General features: G+C 39.8%; 1 protein-coding gene across 1 annotated transcript, besides 6 other annotated features; it reads right to left on the bottom strand.

Annotated features, from left to right (window-relative positions):
- GLO1 (glyoxalase I) lies at positions 1-27,221 on the bottom strand. Its single transcript, NM_006708.3, has 6 exons — positions 27,047-27,221; positions 10,968-11,050; positions 8,450-8,590; positions 6,884-6,951; positions 6,088-6,177; positions 1-1,459 (listed from the first exon to the last, which is right to left on the bottom strand). The coding sequence occupies exons 1-6, from the start codon at positions 27,128-27,130 to the stop codon at positions 1,371-1,373; spliced, it is 555 nt and encodes a 184-aa protein (NP_006699.2). The 5' UTR covers positions 27,131-27,221; the 3' UTR covers positions 1-1,370.
- Positions 5,304-5,516: a silencer, noted in NCBI's record as "fragment chr6:38649004-38649216 (GRCh37/hg19 assembly coordinates)". NCBI's record gives its function as "represses an EF-1alpha promoter that drives an FKBP-Casp9 reporter gene in an ReSE screen in K562 erythroleukemia cells {active_cell/tissue: K562}" and the evidence as "EXISTENCE:reporter gene assay evidence [ECO:0000049][PMID:32094911]".
- Positions 12,817-12,866: an enhancer, noted in NCBI's record as "active region_24483". NCBI's record gives its function as "activates an Ori minimal core promoter by ATAC-STARR-seq in GM12878 lymphoblastoid cells {active_cell/tissue: GM12878}" and the evidence as "EXISTENCE:reporter gene assay evidence [ECO:0000049][PMID:35858748]".
- Positions 12,917-12,996: an enhancer, noted in NCBI's record as "active region_24484". NCBI's record gives its function as "activates an Ori minimal core promoter by ATAC-STARR-seq in GM12878 lymphoblastoid cells {active_cell/tissue: GM12878}" and the evidence as "EXISTENCE:reporter gene assay evidence [ECO:0000049][PMID:35858748]".
- Positions 26,363-26,955: an enhancer, noted in NCBI's record as "NANOG-H3K27ac-H3K4me1 hESC enhancer chr6:38670063-38670655 (GRCh37/hg19 assembly coordinates)". NCBI's record gives its function as "activates a minimal SCP1, AML or CMV promoter by ChIP-STARR-seq in primed H9 embryonic stem cells {active_cell/tissue: H9 hESC(primed)}" and the evidence as "EXISTENCE:reporter gene assay evidence [ECO:0000049][PMID:30033119]".
- Positions 26,988-27,037: an enhancer, noted in NCBI's record as "active region_24485". NCBI's record gives its function as "activates an Ori minimal core promoter by ATAC-STARR-seq in GM12878 lymphoblastoid cells {active_cell/tissue: GM12878}" and the evidence as "EXISTENCE:reporter gene assay evidence [ECO:0000049][PMID:35858748]".
- Positions 27,058-27,157: an enhancer, noted in NCBI's record as "active region_24486". NCBI's record gives its function as "activates an Ori minimal core promoter by ATAC-STARR-seq in GM12878 lymphoblastoid cells {active_cell/tissue: GM12878}" and the evidence as "EXISTENCE:reporter gene assay evidence [ECO:0000049][PMID:35858748]".

Raw genomic sequence — 27,241 nt, forward strand, 5'->3', positions numbered from 1 at the left:
TTTACAAATTAAACATAGTCTTATTTGAAGTTTCATTTTATTTCAGTCTATAAGTATTGCTATTTGTTTAAAGCACTCACATAAATCCATTTCACCCAAAAAGGAAACATAAAGTGCTTCTAGCAGTACAAGCACGGTTGGCATGGCCTTTCCAAAGGTCTTCCACTAGAGTCTAGAGAAATCTAAATATAGTCATCCACAAACTGGATGTTTTTATTTTCTGAGCCATTAGAGATTTTCAAAATCACTTTGATTTTTAAAAACTCATCAAATGTGAATCATGGCGGGGAAGACCACTGAGCTGATTTCTGATAACTAAGTTATCACTGAACATAATTTATCATATATGGCTACTGGCATCATGAAGACCTTGGGATAGGGAAGACTCTTTATGAGAAATATAAACATCACTTGTGTAGGAATCACCAGGTGTCCCTAGAGCAGTTTTGTACTAAAGACTTCTAGTGTTTACTCCCTCACCACGGTACTCCAGCCCAAGAGCCAAGAGCACAATGGTCAAACTCACTGAAGGTTTTTACAACAGGAAACCAGTGGAGGTATTGTGAGGTACTACAACTTTGAGGCACAATCTAAATACTAAAAATGATTATGAAATCTTGAGTTGAGCTGATTGATGCCCTCTTAAATCCATTAATAATCCATGAAAGTGATTTCACATGCCTAGCCTGCTTTCTTTCTCACATGACAGCTGGGAGTATTAAATGAGATAAAGTTGCAGCCTAGCCCAGTGTCTGGGTACCATATCATTTCCTTCCTCCTCCCCTTTCCCAAATAAATAAGGTTAGTCCTTGAACTTTAAATGTACTTTATAATAAGAAGAAATCACTTTTTCTATCAGTATCCTTGTCAGCATGATTTGAATTGCTCTCAAGAGTACCTACTCTTTTGTAAAATAAACACTTTGTACTTTACTGAAAGAACACTAGTGTTCTTTCCTTTCCGTTGTGAAAAAAGTTGTTTCTGAGGAATTGAAACCCCAGAAGATAACTACAACAAAAACATGTTAATTTTTTTTTAAAAATGATGATTCAAAGGCAGATTTGAAGGGAAGTAATATTTAGGTGGCAGAAGAAGGCAAATGCAGCCTCTGAAGGGAACTGTTCTAATTATTACCTAAAAAATAAAGTTACACAACTATATTCAAGGACATGAGATAAAGCACTGCTTGAAAACCAGAATGACTGAACAGTTAGGTGAAAAGGAACAGCTGAAATAGGAAGGGGAAATGGACTGAAGAATAATTTGAATCGGGACAGTGATCCATCAGTCCTAGATGCTTCTGGTATGTAAATATCTTGAATCACATTGTTTCCTTTCTTCTGAAATCTCAAAGGAGAATTCTCACAGCACTACATTAAGGTTGCCATTTTGTTAGGATTCAAAATTTCAATCCAGTAGCCATCAGGATCTTGAATAAATGCCAGGCCTTTCATTTTACCTGTAAAATGAAAATTTTCATTATTGAAAAGACTAAAAAAGAAAACACCATAAAAATGTTTTTCTTTCTTTGAGACAAGGTCTTGCTCTGAATGTCAGGCTGGAGTGCATGGGATGATCATGGCCCAAGGCAGGCTTGACCTCCTGAGCTCAGCCTGCCAAGTAGCTGGGGCGACAGGCACGCACCACCTTGCCTGGCTAATTTTTTGATTTTGTAGAGGCGGGATCTCAATGTACTGCCCAGGCTGCTATCAAACTCCTGGCCTCAAGCAATCCTCCTGCCTTGCCTCCCAAAGTGGTGGGATTACAAGCACAAACCACTGCACCTGGCCTTAAAAACTTTTATTAATTAAAGATTTACTTTGCATTTTAATGAAGTACATTATTTTGTTTACAGTTTTAAATTTTAAAAATTCTTATTGTCAGAAAAGTATGAAAAGTCATACTTTTCATAATGACTAAAATGTTATCTTGCACACATTGCAAATACCAGCCCTCCTGAAATAAACTGTGGGACTGGCTGCATCTTTTAGGTATCAGGCATTTGCCTCACCTTCATGATACCACACTACCAGTTCAGTAGTTACAGAAATTGTCTTATTTTAAAGAAGAAAAAGAAAATAGGGAGGTGCTGAAGGGAGCTGGTAGCATGGCTTACCCCCACAACCAAAAGACCCAGATGCTTGGGTCATACAAACCCTTTTAAATACTATCCTAGGCAACCCAAGCTCTGCGAGAGTCTTTCTCCCAGGAATTCAAAACTGAGATTGAGAGTCTAGTATGTCAGAGCTGTTTGCTTAAATGGAAAAATATGACCTCAGAAATTTATTTGGGGACCATTATGTTGAATTGGTTTGACTCTTATCTCTGCCTCCTTTCTCCAAGATCAATCCTAGAGGAACATAGATGGAAAATGCAGGAAAAAGAAAGAAAGAGAGAAAGAGAAAGAGAAAGAGAAAGAGAGAAAGAGAGAAGGAAGGAAGGAGGGAGGGAGAGAGAGGAAGGAAGGAAGGAAGGAAAAGAAAAGGAAAAGAAAAGAAAAGAAAAGAAAAGGAAAGAAAGAAAGAAACCCGGCTGGTGACAGCTGGGGAGAATGGGTGAGGATGGGGCCGGGTGACTGTTTTAACTTGGGCTGTGTGGGAGGTGGTAGTTCTGGCCTGGACCAGAAGGCAGTGCATAATGGCTGCGAGAGAACAGAGTTTTGCTCTTGCTCCTCCCTCACTGCTGTGTGCATCGGCACCTGCCCTCTCGCTTGTTCAGATGTCCTTACCAGTAAACAAGGGCAGTGCAGGAGCCTTGTGCTTGTGAGAAACTGAGAAAAACTGGTAGGGCCGAATGATCTCCCCAGCCCTCTCTCCACGCCCAGGGCTAGGGAATAACACTATCGGAAGTGTCTCCTACTAATACTCTTCCCTGAGGGATGAAGTGGGAAGATCCAACCTGAAGAGGTGTTTTGTGGAAGGTGAAATAAATTTAAGTCTCATTTCTAGGTGCCTAGGAATCTCTGGCCTAGGCTTATCCAGCCCATTGTCCTGAGATCATGTGGGTTGTTAAGGACAGGGATCTGGCCATTCTCCTATTCACACTGCTTGATGTGTTAGAATAGCGAACAGTTGCAGGGGAAAAAAGCTCAGAGGCAAAAAATAATAATTTGAGAAACATAACCATAAAACACCCCCAAAGCAATGGACTGTAGATTCAAACAGAAGAAATATTAGAATAATGGACCAAGAGCTATTTTTGTTTTTTTTCTGGAGACAGGGTCTTGCTCTGTCGTTTATACTGAAATGAAGTACAGTGGATCATAGCTCACTGCAGCCTCCAACTCCTGGGCCCAAGCAATCCTCCCACCTCAGCCTCCCGAGTAGCTAGGCATACAGACTACAGGCATGTGCCACCATGCCCAGATAATTTAAAAAAAAACCTTTTTGTAGAAACAAGGTCTTCCTATGTCACCCAGGCTGGAATGCAATGGCACAATCATAGCTCACTGCAGCCTTGAACTGCTGGCCTCAAGTGATCCTCCCGAACCTCCCAATCCTCTGCCTCGGCCTCCCAAAGTGCTGCAATTACAGGCATGAGCCACCATGCCCAGACCCAAGGACTATTTAGACATGTAAAAGTAATGACCGGCCGGGTGTGGTGGTTCACATCTGTAATCCCAATACTTTGGGAGGCTGAGGCAGAAGGATCACTTGAGGCCAGGAGTTTGAGACCAGCCTGAGATACATAGTAAGACCCTGTCTCTACAAAAAATAAAAAATTAGCCATACATGGTGGCATTTGCCTGTAGTCCCAGCTACTCAGGAGGCTGAGGTGGATTATTGTTTGATCCCAGGAGTTTGAGGTTGCAGTGAGCTATGATCACACCACTGCACTCTAGCCTGGGCAACAGAGCAAGACTCTGTCTCAAAAAAAAAAAAAAGTAATAAACAATATGAAATATTACCAATATGAAAAAAAGAACAAGAACATATTAAGCAAACTAAGCGAAAATTAGAGATCAAAATTATAACAGGTGTTTAAGAACAAAATAGATGAATTAAATATCAGAACAGATACATTTGGGAGAAAATTAGCTAATTGGTATTCCAGTTTGAGGAAATCTCCCAGAATGCAGGCAGTGACAAAGAAATAATATAAAAAGCTTCTAGAATAAAACAGAAGAATATACAAAGGAACATGAATTGACAGATTTTTCAACAGCAACATCATATGCAAAAAGAAAATAGAAGAGTATTTTCAAGACTGAAGGAAATTAAACCTAGGCTTTTCCATAAAACTGTCCTTCAGACATAAAGGCATCATCCTCAGTTACACAGAATCTCAAAAGTTTTGCCTTAAAAACCCTTTAAAGGGCTGGGTGCGGTGGCTCATAGCTGTAATCCCAGCACTTTGGGAGGCTGAGGCAGGCGGATCACCTGAGGTTGGGATTTTGAGACCAGCCTGACCAACATGGAGAAACCCCGTCTCTACTAAAAATACAAAATTAGCCAGGCACGGTGGTGCATGCCTGTAATCCCAGCTACTCGGGAGGCTGAGGCAAGAGAATCACTTGAACCCAGGAGGCAGAGGTTGCGGTGAGCCAAGACCGTGCCATTGCACTCCAACCTGGGCAACAAGAGCGAAACTCCGTCTCAAAAAACAAAAACAAAACCCCTTTAAAGACCATTTTGGTTGAGGTATTTAAATAAAAGAACAGAAAAATCCAAAAGATGCTAAAAAGGCTGGGCATAGTGGCTCACGCCTGTAATCCCAGTGCTTTGGGAGGCCAAGGTGAAAGAATCGCTTGAGCTCAGGAGTTTGAGACAAACCTGGGCAACATAGCAGGAACTCATCTCTACAAAAAAATAAAACAATTAGCTGGGTGTGGTGGCATGTGCCTGTGGTCCTAGCTACTTAGGAGGAGGCTGAGGCAGAGGATTGTTTGAGCCCAGGAGTTTCAAGGCTATAGTGAGCTATGACAGTGCCATTGCAGCACCCCAGCCTGGATGAGAGTGAGATCCTGTCTCAAAGGAGACACTACAAGAGATATATGAAGAAAAAGTGATCAAACACCGTGATATATTTATTATTATCTTTAAAAAATAAAATCAATACTATCCCACTCTAGGTAATAGTGACACAATGAGGACAGAGTGAAGCAAATTCCTTTCTTATTGGGGAGAAGATTTGGATATTAAATATATATATATTTTTGTGACGGAGTCTCACTCTGTCGCCCAGGCTGGAGTGCAGTGGTGCGATCTTGGCTCACTGCAACCTCCACCTCCCAGGTTCAAGCAATTCTCCTGCCTCAGCCTCCTGAGTAGGCGGACTATAGGCGCCCACCACCATGCCTGGCTAATTTTTTCTATTTTTGGTAGAGACAGGGTTTCACCATGTTAGCCCAGATGGTCTGGATCTCCTGACCTCGTGATCCGCCCGCCTTGGCCTCCCAAAGTGTTGGGATGACAGGTGTGAGCCACCACGCCCAGCACTGGATATTAAGTATTTTAATTTTTTTAAAAAAGGATTGAAATTAAACAGTGAAATATTTCAAATGTTTAGATTGAGACTCTGAAATATTTAATATTTCAATTTTAATTTGAAATAGTTCAGAAAGAGATCTAAGTAAAATAATAACAATACATGTAAACCCAGCAAAATCCATACGTAGGCTATTTCAAAAAACCTACCTAAAACTTAAGGACATACAAAGGTTATAAAAGATGAAAAAGAAATACCATGTGATTATAAACTAAAGAGAGCTGGTGTCATTATATGAGCATCAGATAAAATGGACTTTAAGGAACTTATTTTTGGGCGGAAAGATATACACTGAAATAGTGAAAGCTGGTGGCCAATGAAAGAAAGTGGTGGGGTCGGGCAGTGGGAGAGGAAGCGTAGGGTTTTGATGGCTGTCCAGGTCCTGTGTCTAGTGCCTTGGAAAGCCACCCTAGTTGCTGTCTTTCAGTTCCCTAAAATACCCAGATATTCTTCCAATCATTTCTCTTTTTTAAAACTCTGGTTGAAGTGGAGACTTCTGTTACTTGTAGCCAAAAGGGTTTTACTACAACAGTGGCCTCTGTAGGTGGTTAGTAAATATCAACTAAAGACAGGCCTGAACACAGTAAGTAGTAGACTCACCATCATCAGGTTTCTTCACAAATTTGACTCCCAGTTCTTCAAACCTTTTACAAGCACTGTATACATCAGGAACAGCAATTCCAATATGACCTTACGTGATACCCCCCGAAAAAAGCAGAGAGAAGGAAGAAATAATTATAACAGGGTGTCCAAGTACCACAAGTAGATTCCAAAACTTGTTTATTTCAAAACATAAGGCACTTGGGAACAGACTTAGGTAGGTTCAAAATCTATAATACATTAAAGAACAAATATAGATCTAATGGGCTGGGTATAAGTAGTTAATTAGTTGCCTTGAATTATAAATTATTTAAAATTAATCAATATCAGCTCATATACAGTCTAATCAGTTAAGAATAATCGACACCAAAAAACAGTAATCATTTACTAATACTTAATAGGTTTGTGGTTGGCATTGACTATAGCAGCCAGCTGAAGCCTGCAATACTGTCATCTTGATTGAGAGACTGGAGATCAAGGCAGAAGTGTATGTGCTAGCAGAAACTGGGATTAGTATTAACTACAGCTTTTTTAAAAAAAAAAGTCTACTGGAAATTAATTCTGAGACTTAAAAGTAAATCATGGTGAGATGGTAAGTGTAATTTTAGATCGAGACTCTGAAATTAAACAACTCCTAAATAAGATTATTTGTGGAAAATAAAAATAATCATATCTCTAATAAATTGATCATACTTAATTAGGACATTAATGTTTTAGGTTTATTAAAATCATAATTATATACATAATACAAAATCACACAAATCTACATATATCACATAAAAACAGGCAAACTTACCGAATCCTCGAGGGTCTGAATTGCCATTGTGGTAACTCTGGGTCTCATCATCTTCAGTGCCCCAATTGCTACAAAAGGAAGGAAAACATAGCTACAATGTCCTAGGGAATAGATATTCTGAAAAGCAAGTAACATCTTTGAAATCTTACCACGTTTATATGCTACTTTACATAATTGGCCTAACCCCTGCTACAAAAATATTAAGTTTTCAACTATAGAAAGGACAAATGGCCAAAGTATGATTTTAACGAGACTAAAGAGACAGTAAATACAGGTACTGGACAAGAACAATAATAAGAATAATAATAATGCTCATTTATTGTGCTAAGTACTTTATATTTCATTTAAACCCTTAAAACAGCTCCATGGGCTAGGTGTGAACATCTCCATTCTATTGATGAAACTGCCACTTACTTGTTTAGAGTCACAGACTCATATCTAAGCCTGCCTGATTCCAAAGCTTTATTTTGAATCAAGGGACACACGAAATCACACACTCTGAAATCAATCTCTTTTAAAGTATGCAGATAAACAATGTAAAGAAATTGCCTACATTTTTAAGTGCTCAAGTTATAAAAATACCAAATTTGAATGTTAATTATTACAAAATGGTTTGAAGAATTTTTAAAGGAACACATGATATCACATTTCTGGATCCAAAATGTAGCAAAATAATAAAAGAACAAAATTTTGGATGCTGAAAGACTAATTATAGTACCTAAAAATTAGTTAGAGACAAACAGGCAAATATCTTACAATTTCAGGGTCTTATATTCTCTTATCTAAAAGACAAATGGAGGCCGGGCGTGGTGGGTCACGCCTGTAATCCCAGCACTTTGGGCGGCCGAGGCAGACAGATCACGAGGTCAGGAGATCGAGACCATCCTGGCTAACATGGTGAAACCCCGTCTCTACAAAAAATACAAAAAATTAGCTGGGCGTAGTGGCGGGCGCCTGTAGTCCCAGCTACTTGGGAGGCTGAGGCAGGAGAATGGAGTGAATCCGGGAGGCAGAGCTTGCAGTGAGCCGAGATCGCGCCACTGCACTCCAGCCTGGGCAACAGAGCAAGACTCTGTCTCAAAAAATAAATAAATAAATAAATAAAAATAAAAGACAAATGGGCCAGGCGTGGTGGCTCATGCTTATAATCCCAGCAGTCTGGGAGGCCGAGGCGGGCGGATCACTTGAGGCCAGGAGTTTGAGACCAGCCTGGGCAACATAGTGAGACCTTGCCTCTATGCCTCTACCAAAAACAAACAAACAAAAACTAGCTGGGTGTGGTGGCACACATGTGTAGTCCAAGGTGCTCAGGAGGCTGAGGCAGGAAGACTACCTAGAAGTTAGAGGCTTCAGAGAGCCTGTCTCTAAAAAAAACACATCTCATTTGCCCAAGAACAATACAAAGATCAAAAGATGCATGAAAAACACTTCAATATATTATTAAAAATGTGAAGTCATAGGCAGATCTGGTTTGAATTATACTGGTCAGTAAACAAAACAAAAAAGATTTTTAAAAACTACCTTAAAAAATCTATAATATATATAAATATAGAAACTCATACTCACTGTGTCAGCTCAAGTGTAGCTTTTCTGGAGAGCGCCCAGGCTATTTTTTCATCTTTTTCTTTAGGGATGTCATTTTTATCCTCATAAGCCAAGAAGTAGAGTGAAAACTTCATAATGGGAAAATCACATTTTTGGATTAGCCTGCAATGAAAAAACAACAAGCCTGAATCATTAACAACAGGAAAGGCTAATTCATACTATAATCAACATAACTTAATATTCAAGTTTTACTAAAAAGAAGAGCTATATGTAGTAAGCCTATTTTAATGGAATAAGCAGGAGGAAAAATCAGTGAAAAAATATCATGAAAAATGCATCTGTAAATATTTGAAATACAAAAATGAAAACTTCTGTAATTCATCAATTCTGTAAATATAGTAACATTTAGCTGAAATTATGGTACTTGTTAATAAATAGAAACGGCTATCTCCAAAAGAGAACTGTGTTTATTTGTACTGAAAAATATAAAGAACCTTGTTGCTATTTCATATATATACACACATACAAACACATATATAAATATGTCATTCAGTTAAATAAACACATTTATTGAGTTCTTACTATGCCAAAACATCTAGGAAAGGAAATTAAGGATAGGTGGTAAGAAAGAAGGAGGAAGGACAGACTAGTATCACAGAAGACGTGAATGTCAACAGTAAGGTGGCTAACAGTATCAGATACTGTAGAAAGGTCAAACAGTATTAAGACTAAGAAAAGGTCATGAGATATGGAAAGGTCCCATGAGAGCAATGTCAGCAGAGTGGGGAAGCATCAGCTGGATTACACTGTACTGGGGAGAGAGAATGGCAGGTGAGCAGGTAAAACAGTAGCAAGCATGGCAGTGACAATGGGGAGGTAGGCGAAGGAGCAGAGGGCAAGAAATATTCTGGAACAAAGAAGACTTACGCTTCTCTGAGGGGAAAGAGACAGTAGAAGAGACTGATGGGAGAGAGAGTGAATGAATTATGAATCCTGAGGTTTTAAGAAAGATAACTGAAGTCCTGAACCTTAAATGACTTTAAATGGTATAGGATTATTTGGCAAGGAGTAAGGTGGCATGAGAATGCATATATGATTTTCTTTAGATTATTCAAAGATGACTTTGTTCATAATCAATAAGAGCAAATGGCTGTTATTGCCATATAGCAAATGGAAAGTTTCTAGAGTTCTGCTTCCAATCTTTTATTTCATTATCACTGCTATATAATAGACCTTGGCCCACTTAGATCCTTGCATTGACTTATCACAAATAAGATTTACTCTAACATGTTTATAATAAAGTATCAAACACCTCAAATACTCCAATCATGAAAAACAATCTCTGCACCTACTAAAGCAGACTACACAACCCTCATGGACCAATCAGTTGGGACTGAAGGAAATGAAACTGTTGCAACTTGCTTTTCTCAGCTGTTCAAATCTTCCAGCTTACTGTCAACTTGTACCCTATTTGGGGGCTCTGCACAGGAAGTCTACATTAGAGCCCATCAGACAATGGATACAGGTTCCAGCCCTGCCATATGCCAACTGTGGGATTTGGAGCTAGTAACTTCATCTCATTAAGCTTTGGTTTCTCCGTCTGTGAAATGGGGATAAAAGCTACCTCCTAAGACTGGTGTGAAGACTGAACAAAATAACATTTGAAGTGCCTGGCAAAAGTGTTCAATAAATCTGTTTTCATTTTGTCCTTTAAATATGTCATAAATATATTCATAATACCTTTTTCTAGAAAAAAATCACAAGAAACTGGACAGCAGTTATCTCTGGGGAGAAGAACTTGGGGAGGGAAGCTATTACTTTTCATTTTGTATTTTTCTGAACTGGTCAAATTTTCTAAATATAGACATATATTACTTAAATTTTTCTCTCAATGTGAATGGAAGTTATCTAGGCACTAAATTTAAAGATTATTTTATTATTCATGTATCTATATGCTCAAAAGCAAAATGCTCACATAACTTAGGGAAACAAATCAACAATATGACAAAATTATTTCTCAATATACCTCAGTAAAGCTGGAGAAAAAAAGAAAAATAAACATGCTTTAGAAAAATAAGTATGCTTTAGGATTGCAAGATCAGTGGATATGACCTGTTGAGCAAAAGAAAACACAGCCTAGAAAAATAGAACAGATGGTCAGTTTTAAGTAAACCCATTGGTTTTCTGAGTAGTAAGTTCTTATTATCTATAACTTTTCTGAAGTAAACAAGAGGCTAAAAGTGGCCAGAACATCAAAAGGGGTCTGAACACATTAAGGATTTAGCTGGGAGCGCTCAGAGAAGGCAGACTGGAGAAAATGCAACTATTTGTGTCTTGTTTTGCCCTTTCAGGCTGGCTGGGATAGAGAAGAAAAAGAACTTACGAGAGAAGCCCTGTCCAGCCAGGCCTAATCACAGACTCCTGGCCAAAAGAACTTCTGTTACTTCTGAAACAAACTTTAAGATGGGTCTGAAAACACTCTCTAGATTTGCAAAGCTATATATTTAAACATTAAGGTGCCAATAAGTACTTGACTTACGTCATTCCAAGAACTCTAGTATAAAAATCCAGTGACTTCTTAGGATCCTTCACTCGTAGCATGGTCTGCTGCAATAGAAAATCCTATGGAAAAATATTTATATTAAACATCTTTCACTTTTACCATTTATTACCAACATTAATTGTGCTTTCTGTAACAAGATACAAACACAATTGTTAACCTACCACCTACAACTTGCAAGGGCTCTCTGCTCAGTGGTATCTTCTGGTTGCAGGCCCCTGTGTGATGCAAGTCCAAAGTGTCAGAAAGTTTCCACTGCAGGAATGACCTTCAACCAATGGTCGATAAAAAACCTGGCATCCCTGTCCCTTGGTGGGACAATTCAGAGGCAGGTACCACAAAGTCCCTCAAAGAATCCCCAGCAGGATTGAACCTCAGTTGCCCACAGTGGTAATCCACTCGTATACACCTATGATCACCCTCTCTCCCTAACTCTGCAGAGCTCTCTGTGACCACTTCTCAAAAACTTAAAACCACACCATTCTCTCTAGTCTGCTTTGGGGCTACCCAAACTAAGACACTGATTTTACACATAAAGAGGTTGATCACTACAATATTTGTTGAATGAAGGCATAAATGCCCTTCTAGAACCATTTACTGGTGACCACGCAAATTAGCAAAGAGTTACTCACAAGATCCTAGACTCCTAAATAACTAAAAGGGTAAAAAGTTACTGTTGCTAACACCTTTGGGAAATTCAACTTACTTATCAGGAAACAGAAGGCTTGACTGAGAAAAGGGTAGAAGGTATGTAAATTCATGGAGTTAAGATTATTAATAGCATTAATAATTCTACTTAGGACTTAACTAGGTGTAATAACTCTATATGGTATTACTGTCGATATTCATACCCCATGTTGTAGATGAGAAGCTGACACTGAGTAATTAACTGTTTAAGGCCTCTAAGTTTTGGTCTCCCTTTACCATTGGTATGTACCTTCCAGACCATAAGTCTGTGAACCTCACTGGTGCTTCCTAACAGATTTTTTTTTTTTTTCTGTTAAACCCATGGCTTGACAAAACAGGCCTGAAAATTCTGACCACTTACTTTGGAGCCACATGCCATCTTTCTCCTATATAACTCACATCATATAAAATACAAATATAGTTCATTCAGCCTCATTAGGAAATTATATTTTTCTCTTTTGCTAAATTTTAAGTAAATGAAACATACTCTTTTAGGCATTAAAATTCTCATTTAAAACAAAACTAGCCTAAAAACTACTTTATCTTATTAAAACTGATCTTAATAAATATAATAATTAAATTCTTTATTCGCAGCTTATAATCACATGCCAGGCAGGTTACATGTTTCTAGAACATTTGGGTTGCTTTTCTCAGTCAGATGCTACAGTCCTAAAGGTCTCGATTTTATCAAGCAGCTGAGAAAGAGAAAAGTAGCTCTGCACATCCAAGTGCTGGCCTGGTACTCACAGCTGGGCCTTGGTTTTCTCCTGTTGAACATATATAAAGTCACTCTGTGGCTGCCATGATGTGATACCAAAATAAAAAAAAAAAATTTAAAGCAGCAAGACCATGTCCACTTCATATTCCGGTCTAAGTATACATTAAAACAAGGCACTATGAACACTACCAAAATAACAAACATCCTTCTTTCCCAGCTAATATGAGTGGTAGCTGCTTCTCTATTGATTACAATGTTTGCTTGAGGAAGCCACCTGCAGGACAAAGTCTTATGTATGATCTGTCAGGCCCGACCACACACAATCACACAGACTTTAGCTGGCAGGCCTCATGGGGGAGATCTGTCCTCCCAGCACTGGTTCTCAGTCTCAGGAGGGAGCACTGCAGTCCCTGGAGGGAGGTGCAAGCAAGGACTAAATTCTAAAGATGTCCTTCCTTATTCTCTCAAACACTAACCTAGGTGCTGCTGTGAGAGACTCTGAGAGGAAATTAAGGTCACTCATCAGTGGACTTTAAAATGGGATTAGCCTGGATTACTGAGGTGGATTCAATGTAATCACACAAGACCTTAAAAGCAGGAGAGAGAGAGAGCGAGCGTGCGCGCGCAAAGAAAGTAGAAGAGGAGTGTGGCATAAAGGGAAGTGGGACAGATTCCAAGTGTGAGAAGGGGCCAACCTGCAGGTGCTGGCTCTGAGACATGGGGCACATGTGCCAGGAGTTAAAGGCAGCTGCCCTCTGCTCCCACCCCACCATACCCATCCACGCCTGACAGCCAGCAAGGAAGCTGGGACCCCTGTCCGACAGTGGAAAGAAACTGAATTCAGGGAACAATCTAAATGGATTTAGATGCAGATTCTTCCCCAGAGCCTCTGAGTAAGGAACACAGTCCTGTCAATACAGTGGGACAGACCCAAGTCGGACCTCTAGCCTATGGAATTATGAGATAATATATTTCCAACCAAGCTGCACCCAACATTATTTGTTGCTCAGTTTTTTTAAAAAAGGATAAAATCTAAAAACTATCTTTTAAAATCTGCTTTGTAGTGACCCTGTTTATGTTTTGTTTCTTCAACATCTTTCTAGTACCAACATTAGTATTGGTACTTTACCAACGACTTTATCATTACTTCTGTTCACACTATACAGGCTATACTCAAATCCATATATCTTAGGCACAGCATGTATTTTTTGTTGTAGATGCCATGCCAAGTACTTGCCAAAGTTAGACAACCTTAACTATTCTATCCCATAGTCTATCATATCCTTATCTTACAATCTTTCTGGAAAACAACTGGAATATCAAGAGTCCTCAAGAATTCATATTCTTGGCCAGGTGCAGTGGCTCACGCCTGTAATCCCAGCACTTTGGGGGGCTGAGACGGGCGGATCACGAGGTCAGGAGCTCGAGAAACAGACTGATCAACATGGTGAAACCCCGTCTCTACTAAAAATACAAAAAATCAGCCAGTAGTGGTGGTGCACGAATTAATATTCTTTTCTTTTTTTTTGAGATAGAGTCTCCCTCTGTTTCCAGGCTAGAGTGCAGCAGTGAGATCTTGGCTCACTGCAACCCGCCTCCCGGGTTCAAGCGATTCTCCTGCCTCAGCCTCCCGAGTAGCTGGGACTACAGGCGCCCGCCACCCAGCCCGGCTAATTTTTGTATTTTTAGTAGAGACAGAGTTTCACCATGTTGGCCAGGATGGTCTCGATCTCTTGACCTCGTGATCCGCCTGCCTTGGCCTAAGAATTCATATTCTTTGACCAAGATGTTCTCTTTCTAAAATTCTAAGGAAATAATTACTCTGACAAAGATTTATGTACAAAGGCATCCATCACAACACTTACACAATAACTATGTGCCAGATGCTGTTCTAAGAGATTCAAAGAAACTAATACATGTAATCTTCACAACAAGCCCATGAGATACATATTATTATCATCCCCATTTTACTGCTGAGAAAGTAAGTGGCAGAGAAAAAATTCTGGCCCAAGCAATCTGATTCCAAAGTCCTTGCTTTTAAACCACTAACTGCCTCTAACAAAGGAATAGTTAGATAGTATGACACAGGCATAAAAGAATATTATGAAAAACATTTAAAATGCTGCGTCGAGGTATATTAAATGGCATGGAGATATATACAGATGGTATACTAAGTCTAATGGCATGGGAATATATAAAATGGTATATTAGCTTTTAAAAACATTATATATATATACACACACACATGCATATGAAAACAAATACCACTTAATATGCTATTGAGATTAATTATATCTTAAAATTAATGTTACAGACTTTAACTTTATTATTAAGAGAACTATGTACTGTATCTGCCTAAACACATACACATAAAGAATATTAAAATTCACTTTAAAAAGTCTATACGTGGCAAAAAAAGTAAGATATATTCAACGTTAGTGAATTTATTGATAAAATAGAGGCTTATAAATCCTTTGCTACAAATTGTTAAATGGATATAAAAACAAGAAGGGCTTATTTTTAAGAAAATGATCAAGTTATTCTATGCTCAGATAACAGTTTTATTTTTATCACCAAAATAGTCTGTTAACTCCATGTGCCTCTTGTGAACACTTGCATGATCTTGAGAAAAAGTTCCTGTTTTAAAAAGTTAAGTTCCTAAAAATTATTGCTTTATTGGTATGGTTCTAAAATATCGTTTAAAATACATGTATCTCCTGTTTTAAAAAGTAAGACTTATGCTATGCTCATGTCTTGTCTCACCTGATAGTCCTTAATTTTGTCTTTCCCTTATCATGCTTTAAATTTAGAACAATAAAAATAAGGTGTCTTTTATGCCTAAACTATCTTTGGTTTTACAGGGATGGCTACTGGGTGACAAAGATTTGCTCCTGTGCCTTATCAAAAGGTGGACAATAGAAATAATAAGGTTTTTTTCGGGGGGAGGGGAAGTGTCATTCTCCAAATTTAATTAAGAAAACTACTGTAAGAAAACTTTTTTTTTTTTTAAGATGGAGTCTCGCTCTGTCACCCAGGCTGGAGTGCAGTGGCGCAATCTTGGCTCACTGCAAGCTCCGCCTCCCGAGCTTCAAGCGATTCTCCTGCCTCAGCCTCCTGAGTAGCTGGGACTACAGGCACCAGCCACCACGCCCAGCTAATTTTTATATTTTTAGTAGAGAAAGGGTTTCACCACATTGGCCAGGCTGATCTCAAACTCCTGAACTTGTGGTCCACCCGCCTTGACCTCCCAAAGTGCTGGGATTACAGGTGTGAGCCACCGCAACCGCCAAGAAAACTTTAAAGGTACAATCAAGGATGTTTCTAGTGCATGTCCTACCTGCCTACAATACAATCCTTACAAAACTGTAAAAGTGAGGCAAGGATGTGAACCAAAGGATTAAGGCCCCTTTAAGCACCAGTAAATGGATTTTTTTTTTTTTGGTATAAGGGATGAGAATTGAGTAGAGCTTCATTTTTAACCTAAGGATGTCCAATTGCTTCAGCACCATTTGTTGAGGCTATCCTCCCTCTGGTGAACTGCTTTTTCATCTTTGTCAAAAAGCTGTTGGGCATACTAGTGTGGGTATATTTTGGGGTTCTCTATTTTGTTTCAATGTTCTATCTCTCTGCCAATACCACAGAGTAGTGATTACTGTAGCTATGTAAGTCTTAAAATCAGGTAGAAAAATTCTTCCCACTTTATTCTTTTCCAAAATGGTTTGTTATTCTAGTTTTTTTGCCTTTCAATCTAGAATAACCCTGTCTCTGTCTAAAAAAGTTTGATAAGGAGTGTGTTAAACATGTATATTGATTTGGGGAGAATTGATATCCTTACTGTGCTGAGTCTTCCAATCATGAACACAATAAATCTCTCCATTTATTTAGATCTATGACTTTTTGCATCGCCATTGCTGTTTTCAGCATATGTGTCCTGTAAATGTTTATTAGATTTATATCTAAGTATTTCATTTTATTGGGCAATTGTAAATGGTAATGTATTTTTTAATTTTTGGTGCCTGTGTGTTCTTTGCTAGTATATAGAAACGCGATTGATTTCTGTATGTTTATTTTGTACCCTGCAACCTTGCTGAACTCATTTATGAATTCTGGGAGTTTTCTGTAAATTACTTATTATTCCCTATGTAGACAATCATGTCATCTTCAAATAAGGACAGTTTGATTTCTTCCTTTCCAACCTATATGTCTCTTATTTCCTTTTCTTGCTTTACTGCACTGTCTAGAACTTTCAGCACTTTGTCAAATAAGAGTGGTAACAGCAGACATCCTTGTCTTATTACCAAAATTAGGGAGAAAGCATCACCACTGAGTGTAATATTAGCTCTAACTTTTCAAGAGAAGCTCTTTATCAAGTTAAAGAAATGCCCCCATTCCTATTTTTTTCTGAACTTAAAAAAAATAATGAATGAGTGTTGAATTTTGTCAAATGCCTTTTCTGTACCAACTGATATGATCATGTGATTCTTCTTTACCCTCTTAATATGGTGGATTATACTGACTGATTTTTGTATACTGAACCAGGCTTGCATCCTAGATATAAACCTCACTTGGTTAAGGTGTATAATTCTTTCTATATATACTGTTGAATTCTGTTTACTAACATTTTGTCAAGGGTTTTTACATTTATATTCATTGGAGATATTGGTCTGTAGTTTTCTTGTACTGTCTTCATTTGTTTTTGGTATCAGGGTAATATTAGCTTTATCAAATGAATTGGGAAGTGTTCTCCCGTCTTCAGTTTTCTGGAAGGGGTTGTGTATAATTGATGTTAATTCTTCTTTTACATTTGGCAGAATTCTCCAGTGAAATCACCTGGGTCTGGACAAATCTTCTTTGGAAGTTTGTTAATCATAAATTCAATTGCCTTAAGTTATAGGACTCATCATATTAGTTCATATTGGATGAGGAATTGGTCCAATTCAAGTTGTCAAATTTATGTATACAAAGTTGTTTTTAGTATTCCCTTATCTTTCTTATGTCAGAAAGGTCTGTAGTGTATCCCCTATTTCATTCCTGATATTGGTAGTTTGTGCTTCTTTGTTTTCATTGTCAGTCTTGCTACAGGTTTGTCTATTCTACTGGTCTTTTCAAAGAACCAGCTCTGTTTTACTGATTTTCTGTTCTTAATTTCATTAATTTCTGCTTCTCTAATTCCTTCCTTCTGCTTCCTTTGGGTTTACTTTGCTTTTCATTTTCTAGTTTCTTAGGAGGAAGCTTACGTTATTAATTTGAGACTTTTCCTCTTTTATAATGTATGCAGTCAGTGCTATACATTTCCCCCTTTGCACTGTTTAGCTATGATCCCTTTTTCATTTTCATTCAGCTCTCTCTCTCTCTCTCTCTCTCTCTCTATATATATATATATATATATTTGTTTTGTTTTGTTTTGTTTTGAGACAGAGTCTAGCTCTGTCACCCAGGCTGGAGTGCAGTGGAGCGATCTCGGCTCACTGCAAGCTCCGCCTCCCGGGTTCACGCCATTCTCCTGCTTCAGCCTCCCGAGTAGCTGGGACTACAGGTGCCCGCCACCACGCCTGGCTAATTTTTTGTGTTTTTAGTAGAGACGGGGTTTCACCATGTTAGCCAGGATGGTCTCGATCTCCTGACCTCGTGATCCGCCTGCCTCAGCCTCCCAAAGTGCTGGGATTACAGGCGTGAGCCACTGCACCCGGCCTCAGCTCAAAATATTTTTAAAAAGTTCCCAAGACTTCCTTTGTAATCCATGGATTATTTATTTAGAAGTGTGCTGTTTATTTTCCCAGTGCTTGAAGATGTTCTTATTATGTTTCTGCTACTGATTTCTAGTTTAATTCCACTGTTGCTGAAGAATACATCATTCCATTCTTTTAAATTTGCTGAAGTTGGCTTTAGGACCCAGGGCATGGTCTACTTTGGTATATTTTCTACAGACACTTGGAAAAAAAAAGGGGAATTCTGTTGTTGTTCGGTAGAACATTCTATAAATACTAATTAGATCTTATTTGTTGATGGTATTGCTGAGTTCTTCTGTTTCCTTGTTAATTTTCTGTCTAGTTCTATCAATTGTTGAAAGAGGAGCGTTGGCTGGGCTTGGTGGCTCATGCTTGTAATCCCAGCACTTTGGGAGGCCGAGGTGGCTGGATTGCTTGAGCCCCAGAGTTCAAGACCAGCCTAGGCAAGATAGTGAGACCCCATTTCTACAAAAAATAGAAAAATTAGCTGGGTGTGGTAGTGTACACATGTAGCCCCAGCTCCTTGGGAGGCTGAGGTAGGAGGAGCCCTTGAACCCGGGAAGCAGAGATTGTAGTGAGCTGAGACGGCACCACTGCACTCCAGCCTGGGTGACAGGAGTGACACCCTATCTCAAAAAAAAAAAGAGCAGTGTTGAGGTCTCCAACTATAATTTTAGATTTTTCTATTTCTCCTTTCAGTTATATCAGTTTTGCTTCATGTGTTCCCTAGCTCTGCTGTTTAGTAACATATATTTATGATTACTGTGTCATCTTGGTCAATCACAACTCTTTTATCACTGTATAATGTACTTCTTATGTCTGGTAATTTTCTTTGCCCCAAAGTCTACTTTATCTGATATCAAGATAGCCACTCCTGCTTTCTTTTGATGAATATCTGCATGAATTATCTTTTCTACCCTTTTACTTTTACCTTGTCTCTATCATATTGGAAGTGAGTTTCATGTAGACAGCATACAGCTGGGGCATGTTTTTTAATCCATTCTATCAATCATTGTCTCTTAATGTATTTGTATCTAATGTAAGTACTGAAATGTTAGGGCTTAAGTTGGCCATTTTATTCATGTTTGTTTTCTGTTTGTTCTTCCTTTTTTAATGTTTTCTGTCTTCTTTTTGCCTTTCTCTGGGTCACTGGAACTTTTTAAAATTCAATTTTCATTTATCTGTAGTGTTTTTGCATGTATCTCTTTGTATAGCTTTTTAAATGGTGGCTCTAGGTGTTACTATATATGTATATACATATGGCATATATATACATATACGCATACACATATATACAGACATACATGTATATATGTATATACATATACCCATGTATATGTATACACACACACACATAACTTATCAGTCATTTGGTGACATCATTTTATTAGTTTGAACAAGGTACAGAAACCTCACCTCTCTTTACATTCCTGTACCTTCTCCCGCTTATAATTATCTTAAATATTTCCACTGCTGGGTTGGGGTGGAATTTTAGGTTCCTCATGTGTCTCCATTGATATGGCAAGAGGGGAAAGCCTGGCAGGATGAAAGTCCTGGCTCCCTACCCAGCCTTCCCCCACATCACCTTGGCAGGGGAAGGCTGGGCAGCTCATTACATCTGGTTGGGTGAAAATCTAGGCTCCCCACTCAGCTTTTGCTGGCATGGGTGGGACTGAGGCCACAGTTTTCTCTATGGAGTTTAGTTGGAGTAGAGCAGTTATTGTCTAAAAGTTTTCTTTCTTGCCAGGAAATGCTGCCCATTTCCAGGTCCTGTGGCTAGAGAGCAGGCTTTCATTAGGCTTTTTTTTGGTCTGTGTCCATCAGCATTTCCAGGTTACTAGCTTCTTCAGCTTCAAGTCTGGGCAATATGAGGCAAAAAGAAAACTTAGGAAACTCATTGCCTTGTTGTTCCTAGGGTCTCAAGGTCCCTAGCCAGTCTACCTTCTTCTCACCACCTTTCAGAGTCTTCCAATGTTTGTCTTATATATCATGTCCAGAGTTTTTAGTTGTACTTAGCAGGAGGAATAAGGAAAAGTATGTCTACTTCATCTTGTCAGAAGCAGAGTCTCTAAATGAATTTTATACAACTGCCTCCCACAATGGGATATGAGTGTATTTGGTTACAATATGTCTATTTTCAGGATGAATCAAAACTGGTCAAAAAGCTACAACAATGATAAAAACGTTGTTTGACTTTGTGTTTTCTCCCTACAAAATCTCAAATTTGCTTCTAGTGATGAAGATACTTATTTCTCTAGAAGTATTACTAGAGAGCTTTGTAAGAGGTTACATCTTAAAGTTAAAATCTCCATTGCCTCTTATCTTAGTCCATTTAGGCTGCTGTAACAAAAATTCCATAAACTGGGTGGCTTATAAACAACAGACATTTATTTCTCACAGGTTTGGAGGCTAGGAAGTCCAAGATCAAGGCACTTGGAGATTTAGTGTCTGTCCTCATAGATGGTACCTTTGCACTGTGACCTCACATGGCAGAAGGGCTTGATCATTCTTTACAGTCTCTTTTATAGGATGCTAATCCTAATCATGAAGACTTTGTCCTCATGACCTACCTAATCACTTTCTGAAAGGCCCCACCTCCTAATACCTGCCTCAGGGATTAGGATTTCAACACATGAATTTTGAGGGGACACAAACATTCAGACCATAGCACCTTTATTACCCTCAGTCTGCAGAAAGGAGAAGTTCCACACTTGCATTAGCCATATTTTCAGAAATTAAAAAATTTCTCTGGTTTAAAAAATGTTGTCTTTCGACCTTAATAAGACTGAGACCAATTCCCTTTAGAGACTATCTACTTTGTCTCTCAAATAACTTTCAAAAGTGTTATATTGCCCCCAACAGAAAGCCTTCTTCTTTTTTTTTTTTTTTTGAGATGGAGTCTCACTCTGTTGCCCAGGCTGGAGTGCAATGGCACGATCTCGGCTCACTGCAACCTCTGCCTCCCAGGCTATTCTCCTGCCTCAGCCCCCTGAGTAGCTGGGATTACAGGCACGCGCCACCATGTCTGGCTAATTTTTTTGTATTTTTAGTAGACACAGGGTTTCACCATGTTGGTTAGGCTGGTCTCGAACTCCTGACCTCATGATCCACCCACCTTGGTCTCCCAAAGTGCTGGGATTACAGACGTGAGCCACCGGGCCTGGCCCAGAAAGTCTTCTTAAGGCTCAACTAAACATCCAGACTTATAAGACAACCATAGCCATAGGCCATACATGGTGCCAGTTTACTCAAAACGGTATCTGTTAGGAAAACACAGATTGCCAACAAAGAAGTATCAGGTGTTCCTCTTCAGTGGGAGTCCTTACAGGAGTCGACACAGATCAGGTACAGGGAGAAGATTCACACTGGATATGAATGAGAATCACCCTAGGGCAGAAGGCCCCATGTACCACAGGAGCCAGTATCTCTAGTAGCAACTCCATAGGCAGAACTTCTAGAATTTCCACAAGGGACAGTTATAAGAGTCACTACAATCAGGGAAGTCCAAAGCTATGGCTTCCTTTCAAGTATTTACAATTCTCCCTCTCCAGATGCAATTTACCAATTGGGTTATTTTTACCATAAGCAACAAACACAATTTTTCATTGTTTTCTGGGAAACTAGGGAGTTAACGAAAAGTCAAATTTTCATAAAAGGGGAAAGGGTTTGTTAACTCTTTATTACTAGGTGTCACATCTCCCACAAAACAAAAGTGAACAAAGTGGTTTTCACCAGACTTTTAAAAATGAGCTTTTCAACTGCCTTCAGTGTATCTTGAGGAAAGCAAGAAGTCCTCACTACTTCCTGCCTAGACAATTATCTCTTTGCTTTTCATAGGCTTATCTACATGCAATTTGGAGTGATCTTTCCATAAAGAAAACCCTGTCATGTCATTTTTGGCTTAAAAATCAATACTTCAGTGGTTCCTCAACACATTTGAGAGACAGTCCCAAAAGCAACCACATATGTAGCTGCATACTTCTCTAACACCAACGGTTATCACCACTCCCCTAAACCGGTCATCTCAAACATTTTCTATTTCATACCCTTATCACTTAAATAGCAACCATTACAGGGTGAGAAAAACAAATGAATATAATGGGAATTCTCATCTTTTCTTTGAGTACCCTAATGATTGTTTTGGTCACCCTTCCCTCAAGTCCCACTGCTTATAACTTCATTCACTGTGTTACCCGTAGGTCCCTGCCTCAGTTCTCTGATGTCATTATGCCTTTATATATATTATGATTCTCTATGCCTTGAATAGTCAGCCATTTATCTGGCCATTGTCCTTCTTCCTTCCTCCTTTCCATTCCCTATTCTCCTTTCTACTGCATTCAATTCCACCAATCTACCTGATTGGAGAGGGACCCCATCATATATATATATATTCATATATTTATAGATATATTTATATATTAATATATATTAATTTTTTATATTTTTATATATTCATATATTTATATATGGAACGATGTGAAAATGGACATTGGCAGTGGTGGTAGAAATAATGGCAACACTGAGGACATTGTCTACTGTATTAGTGGAGACAGATACAGATAGTAAAAAAGAAAAGATCTCCAGATCACTACTTGGAAGGAGAACCTGACCTTTTTTTTTTTTTTTTTTTTGAGACGGAGTCTCTCTCTGTTGCCAGGAGAATCTGACCTTTTAAAGAAAGTTAGCCCAGAGAGATTGCCCAAAATGTGACATAGCCATACATTCTCTGGACTTCCTTTATAATGAAGATGCAAATGATCAAAAAACAAGTCGACTTTGTGCCATTGCTGCTGTCTTCTTTACAAACGAGACCCTCATATCACTTATCTCACCTTCTGGAAGAGCTTTTTAAGTGGCCTAATCACCTCCAGACTTGGATCCCTCCAATCTACTTTATAGAATACTTCAAAACCCTGACTCATTCCCCACTATGTATATAAAATCTAACTTCCTTAGATGTGACACTCAAAGCTGTCTCCACAATCTGGCCCCAACCTACCATGTTAGCCTCTTCCACCACTGCTTAGATAACCTGAACTGCAACCAATAACATTTAACTAACTCTCCAGTACCTGCCCTGCATTGCAATTCTACCATCCTAAAACTGTTGTGGGAAGTCAGGGACCCCGAATGGAGGGACCAGCTGGAGCTGTGGCAGAGGAACATAAATTGTGAAGATTTCATTTTAATATGGACATTTATCAGTTCCCAAATAATACTTTTATAATTTCTTATGCCTGTCTTTAATCTCTTAATCCTGTTATCTTCGTAAGCTGAGGATGTACATCACCTCAGGACCACTGAGATAATTGTGTTAACTGTACAAATTGATTGTAAAACTGTGTTTGAACAATATGAAATCGGCGCACCTTGAAAAACAACAGAAAAACAGCGATTTTAGGGAACAAGGGAAGACAACCATAAGGTCTGACTGCCTGAGGGGTCGGACAAAAAGAGCCATATTTTTCTTCTTGCAGAGAGCCTATAAACGGACGTGCAAGTAGGAGAGATATTGCTAAATTATTTTCCTAGCAAGGAATATTAATATTAATACCCTGGGAAAGGAACGCATTCCTGGGGGGAGGTCTATAAACGCCCGCTCTGGGAATGTCTGTCTTATGAGGTTGAGATAAGGACTGAGATACGCCCTCGTCTCCTGCAGTACCCTCAGGCTTACTAGGGTGGGGAAAAAACTTCACCCTAGTAAATTTGTGGTCAGACCGCTTCTCTGCTCTCGAACCCTGTTTTCTGTTGTTTAAGATGTTTATCAAGACAATACGTGCACTGCTGAACATAGACCCTTATCAGTAGTTCTGCTTTTGCCCTTTGCCTTGTGATCTTTGTTGGACCCTTATCAGTAGTTCTGCTTTTGCCCTTTGCCTTGTGATCTTTGTTAGACCCTTATTAGTAGTTCTGCTTTTTGCCCTTTGAAGCATGTGATCTTTGTACCTACTCCCTGTTCTTACACCCCCTCCCCTTTTGAAACCCTTAATAAAAACTTGCTGGTCTAAGACTCAGGTGGGCATCACAGTCCTACTGATATGTGATGTCACCCCCCGGCAGCCCAGCTGTAAAATTCCTCTCTTTGTACTCTTTATTTCTCAGCTGGCCAATACTTATGGAAAATAGAAAGAACCTACGTTGAAATATTGGGGTGGGTTCCCCCCGTATCAAAACACATTTTTGCTAAGATGTTTCCTTCATCAGAATGCCTTCCCATGTACTCTGCTGGAATCCTACCCAATCTATCAAGGCATAGGCCCATCACCACCATCTTTTTGATGTGTGCCCTGATCCCCACAGCTGAAATACAACCTTGAATTGTATCACTCTTCATAGTTTAGAGAACATAATACATGTCATTTTATCCTCATAGCAGCTCTCTGAGATATCTTTATGCTCCTTCTACAAACTGAGCCCAAGTGCCCTGGCAAGGTCACTGCAGCCAACAACAGAAGTGGGGATTCAAATGCAGGTCTTCAGGCTCCAAATACCCTGTGCATACCCCATTCCACTAATGCTACCTTTAAAAACCTCTACCTCCCAGGGTGCTCTCAGGGTGATTTATATTTCAATAGCACACTAACCCCAGGTCCATTGTATATTAGAGTTGATATAAGTTGGTGAAGGGAGGGAACCTCATCTTGTTTATCCCAGTATCCCCAAAGTACTTACCATCTTCTTTACATATAGCATAAATGTATCAAGTGATCAAACTGAATTTAATTCATTGAGGGTTTTTTTTTTTTTTTGGACAAAGTCTCACTCTGTCACCCAAGCTGGAATGCAGTGGCATGATCTCGGCTCCCTGCAACCTCCACCTCATGGGTTCAAGTGATTTTCCTGCCTCAGCCTCCCAAGTAGCTGGGATTACAGGTGCCCGCCACCATGCCCAGCTAATTTTTGTATTTTTAGTAGAGCAGAGTTTTGCCATGTTGGCCAGGCTGGTCTCGAACTGCTAACCTCAGGTGATCTGCCCACCTCGCTCTCCCAAAGTGCTGGGATTACAGGCATGAGCCACTGCACCCAGCCTTCATTGAGGTTTTTTATTTTCCTTTATGGCAAATTCCAAAATTACTGCTGGAGTCAGCACCCCAGAAGCAGAACAGGGTGGAGGTTGGAAGTGTGGGGTCCTCCCTGGGCAAATCACTCAACACCTCTATGTGCCTGAGTGTCCTTATTTGTAAAATGAAGATCATAATTATGCCTTCTTCATAGGGTTGTTGTTAGGATTAAATTAAACAATGTACTTAAAATACCAAGCCAGGGCCTGGCACACTCAATATATACCAGCTATTATTATGTATTCCATTTTATGTCTCCCATGGCCAAAAATTACTGATCTCAAAATTAATTACTCCGAATCATCAAGAGAAATTTAGATACTGTGGAATGTAAATTAAGCTGCAAGGACATTTACTTAGTATATTTTATAAAGATATCCCTGGAATCCTTTTTATTTGAAAACCCCATTACATAAAACCCCTAGTTATCTGGGAAAATACTTTACACTGAGTGACTCAATTTACATTATATGAAAAAACCAGGTATTAATATTAAGGGATATACAAGTGAGATGGGCATGACGGAATTTTTTTACCTTCCCCCTTAATTTTGCAATGACTAACATTTTTCCTAAGCCAAGTACCAGGTGCTAGTCAAAAGTTTTAGCAATGAGATGTGTCTGACTCTTTGCCCTGAAGGTAAAGAACAAGCAGGGACCAGAGTCATGGACCACTTATCTACCCCTTTTAAAGGTCTGCACGAAGCACATATTCAATCTTCAAGGAATTTACAAATGATGTAGTCAAATAAATAAATACAAAGGTGTTTACAGACACTGATGACTTCACTGGAATAAACAGCGGTTACTGTGCCTGAATTTTTTTTTTTTTTTTTTTTTAGACAGAGTCTCACTCTGTCGCCCAGGCTGGAGTGCAGTGGCACGATCTCAGCTCACTGCAAGCTCCGCCTCCCGGGTTCATGCCATTCTCCTGCCTCAGCCTCCCGAGTAGCTGGGACTACAGGCACCCGCCACCACGCCCAGCTCATTTTTTTGTATTTTTAGTAGAGACGGGGTTTCACCGTGTTAGGATGGTCTCTACCTCTTGACCTCGTGATCCGCCCGCCTTGGCCTCCCAAAGTGCTGGGATTACAGGCGTGAGCCACCGCGCCCGCCAACTGTGTCTGATCTTAACAAGGCAACCGAAACACCACACCTGAGTGAGTTACACTGATTCTTACCCAGTAAAGACATGTTCGGTAAGTGAAAGCCTTTGTATGCAACAGGTCATTTCTCTTACTGGGTCATTACTGTAAAACGAGAGGGTAAGAGAAGGAATTTCTAAGATTCCTTTCAGATCCAAACTCTATGATTCTGTAATCTCTCCTGGGCCCCACGAAGATGAGGAAGGCAAGAAGGGCTGTTGTGACCCACAGCAAAGGCCAAGCAAGCAAAAGTGAAATTCTGGGCGCGGTTAAACTTAGAGCGATCAAATTAGTTTGCAGGAGTTAAGACTGCAGTCAGGGTGGTAAGGAAAAACGAGGCTGGGCAGGACTGGTACAGGACAGGCATCTTTGAACCTATTTCTGGGAGTTCTGAAACTACTGTTCTCGTGGGCCTTGGCGACTGATTTGGGAAAGCTGACCCTGGGTTGGCCTGGCTTCCAGCCACCGTCGCAACATAAACAAGCCAATTCAAAACAGGGTCGCAGTCTTTGAAACTAGCTGAGGCAACAGATCCCCTCCACACTTCGCGGGCCCCACGATCGCCCCATCAAACACCATTATCCCTCTTCCCATCACACTCCCGTCCGCCCGAGGCCGGCGGACCTGCAGCGGCGGCGGGATGGGGTTGGATAGAATGCGGCCCGGTCCCGGCCCAGCGGAGCTGGGGGAGCCGTTCCCTTCGGTCCTGTGCCCACCTTGGTACTGGGGTCCGCGTCGGAGCAGCAACTGAGGGCGGCCTCGTCCGTGAGGCCGCCGGACGGGGGCTGCGGTTCTGCCATGGCTGCGCTGCAGTATCACAGACGACGGGACCCAAGGAACGGAGGAGTCACCCACACTACGCCTCGGCCCTGTGCCGCCTTAACTAGGAATGGCGCGATGGCGCCGCGGGC

The sequence above is a fragment of the Homo sapiens genome, chromosome 6, assembly GCF_000001405.40.
Source record: "Homo sapiens chromosome 6, GRCh38.p14 Primary Assembly".
Taxonomy (NCBI): Eukaryota; Metazoa; Chordata; class Mammalia; order Primates; family Hominidae; genus Homo; species Homo sapiens.

Coding starts and splice junctions, on each gene's coding strand:
- GLO1 (NM_006708.3), bottom strand. CDS start 27,130: ATGGCAGAACCGCAGCCCCCGTCCGGCGGCCTCACGGACGAGGCCGCC. Junction 8,591..10,967: donor ACTAGAGTTCTTGGAATGAC/GTAAGTCAAGTA, acceptor TTTTCATTGCAG/GCTAATCCAAAAATGTGATT. Junction 6,178..6,883: donor TTCAGACCCTCGAGGATTCG/GTAAGTTTGCCT, acceptor GTATCACGTAAG/GTCATATTGGAATTGCTGTT.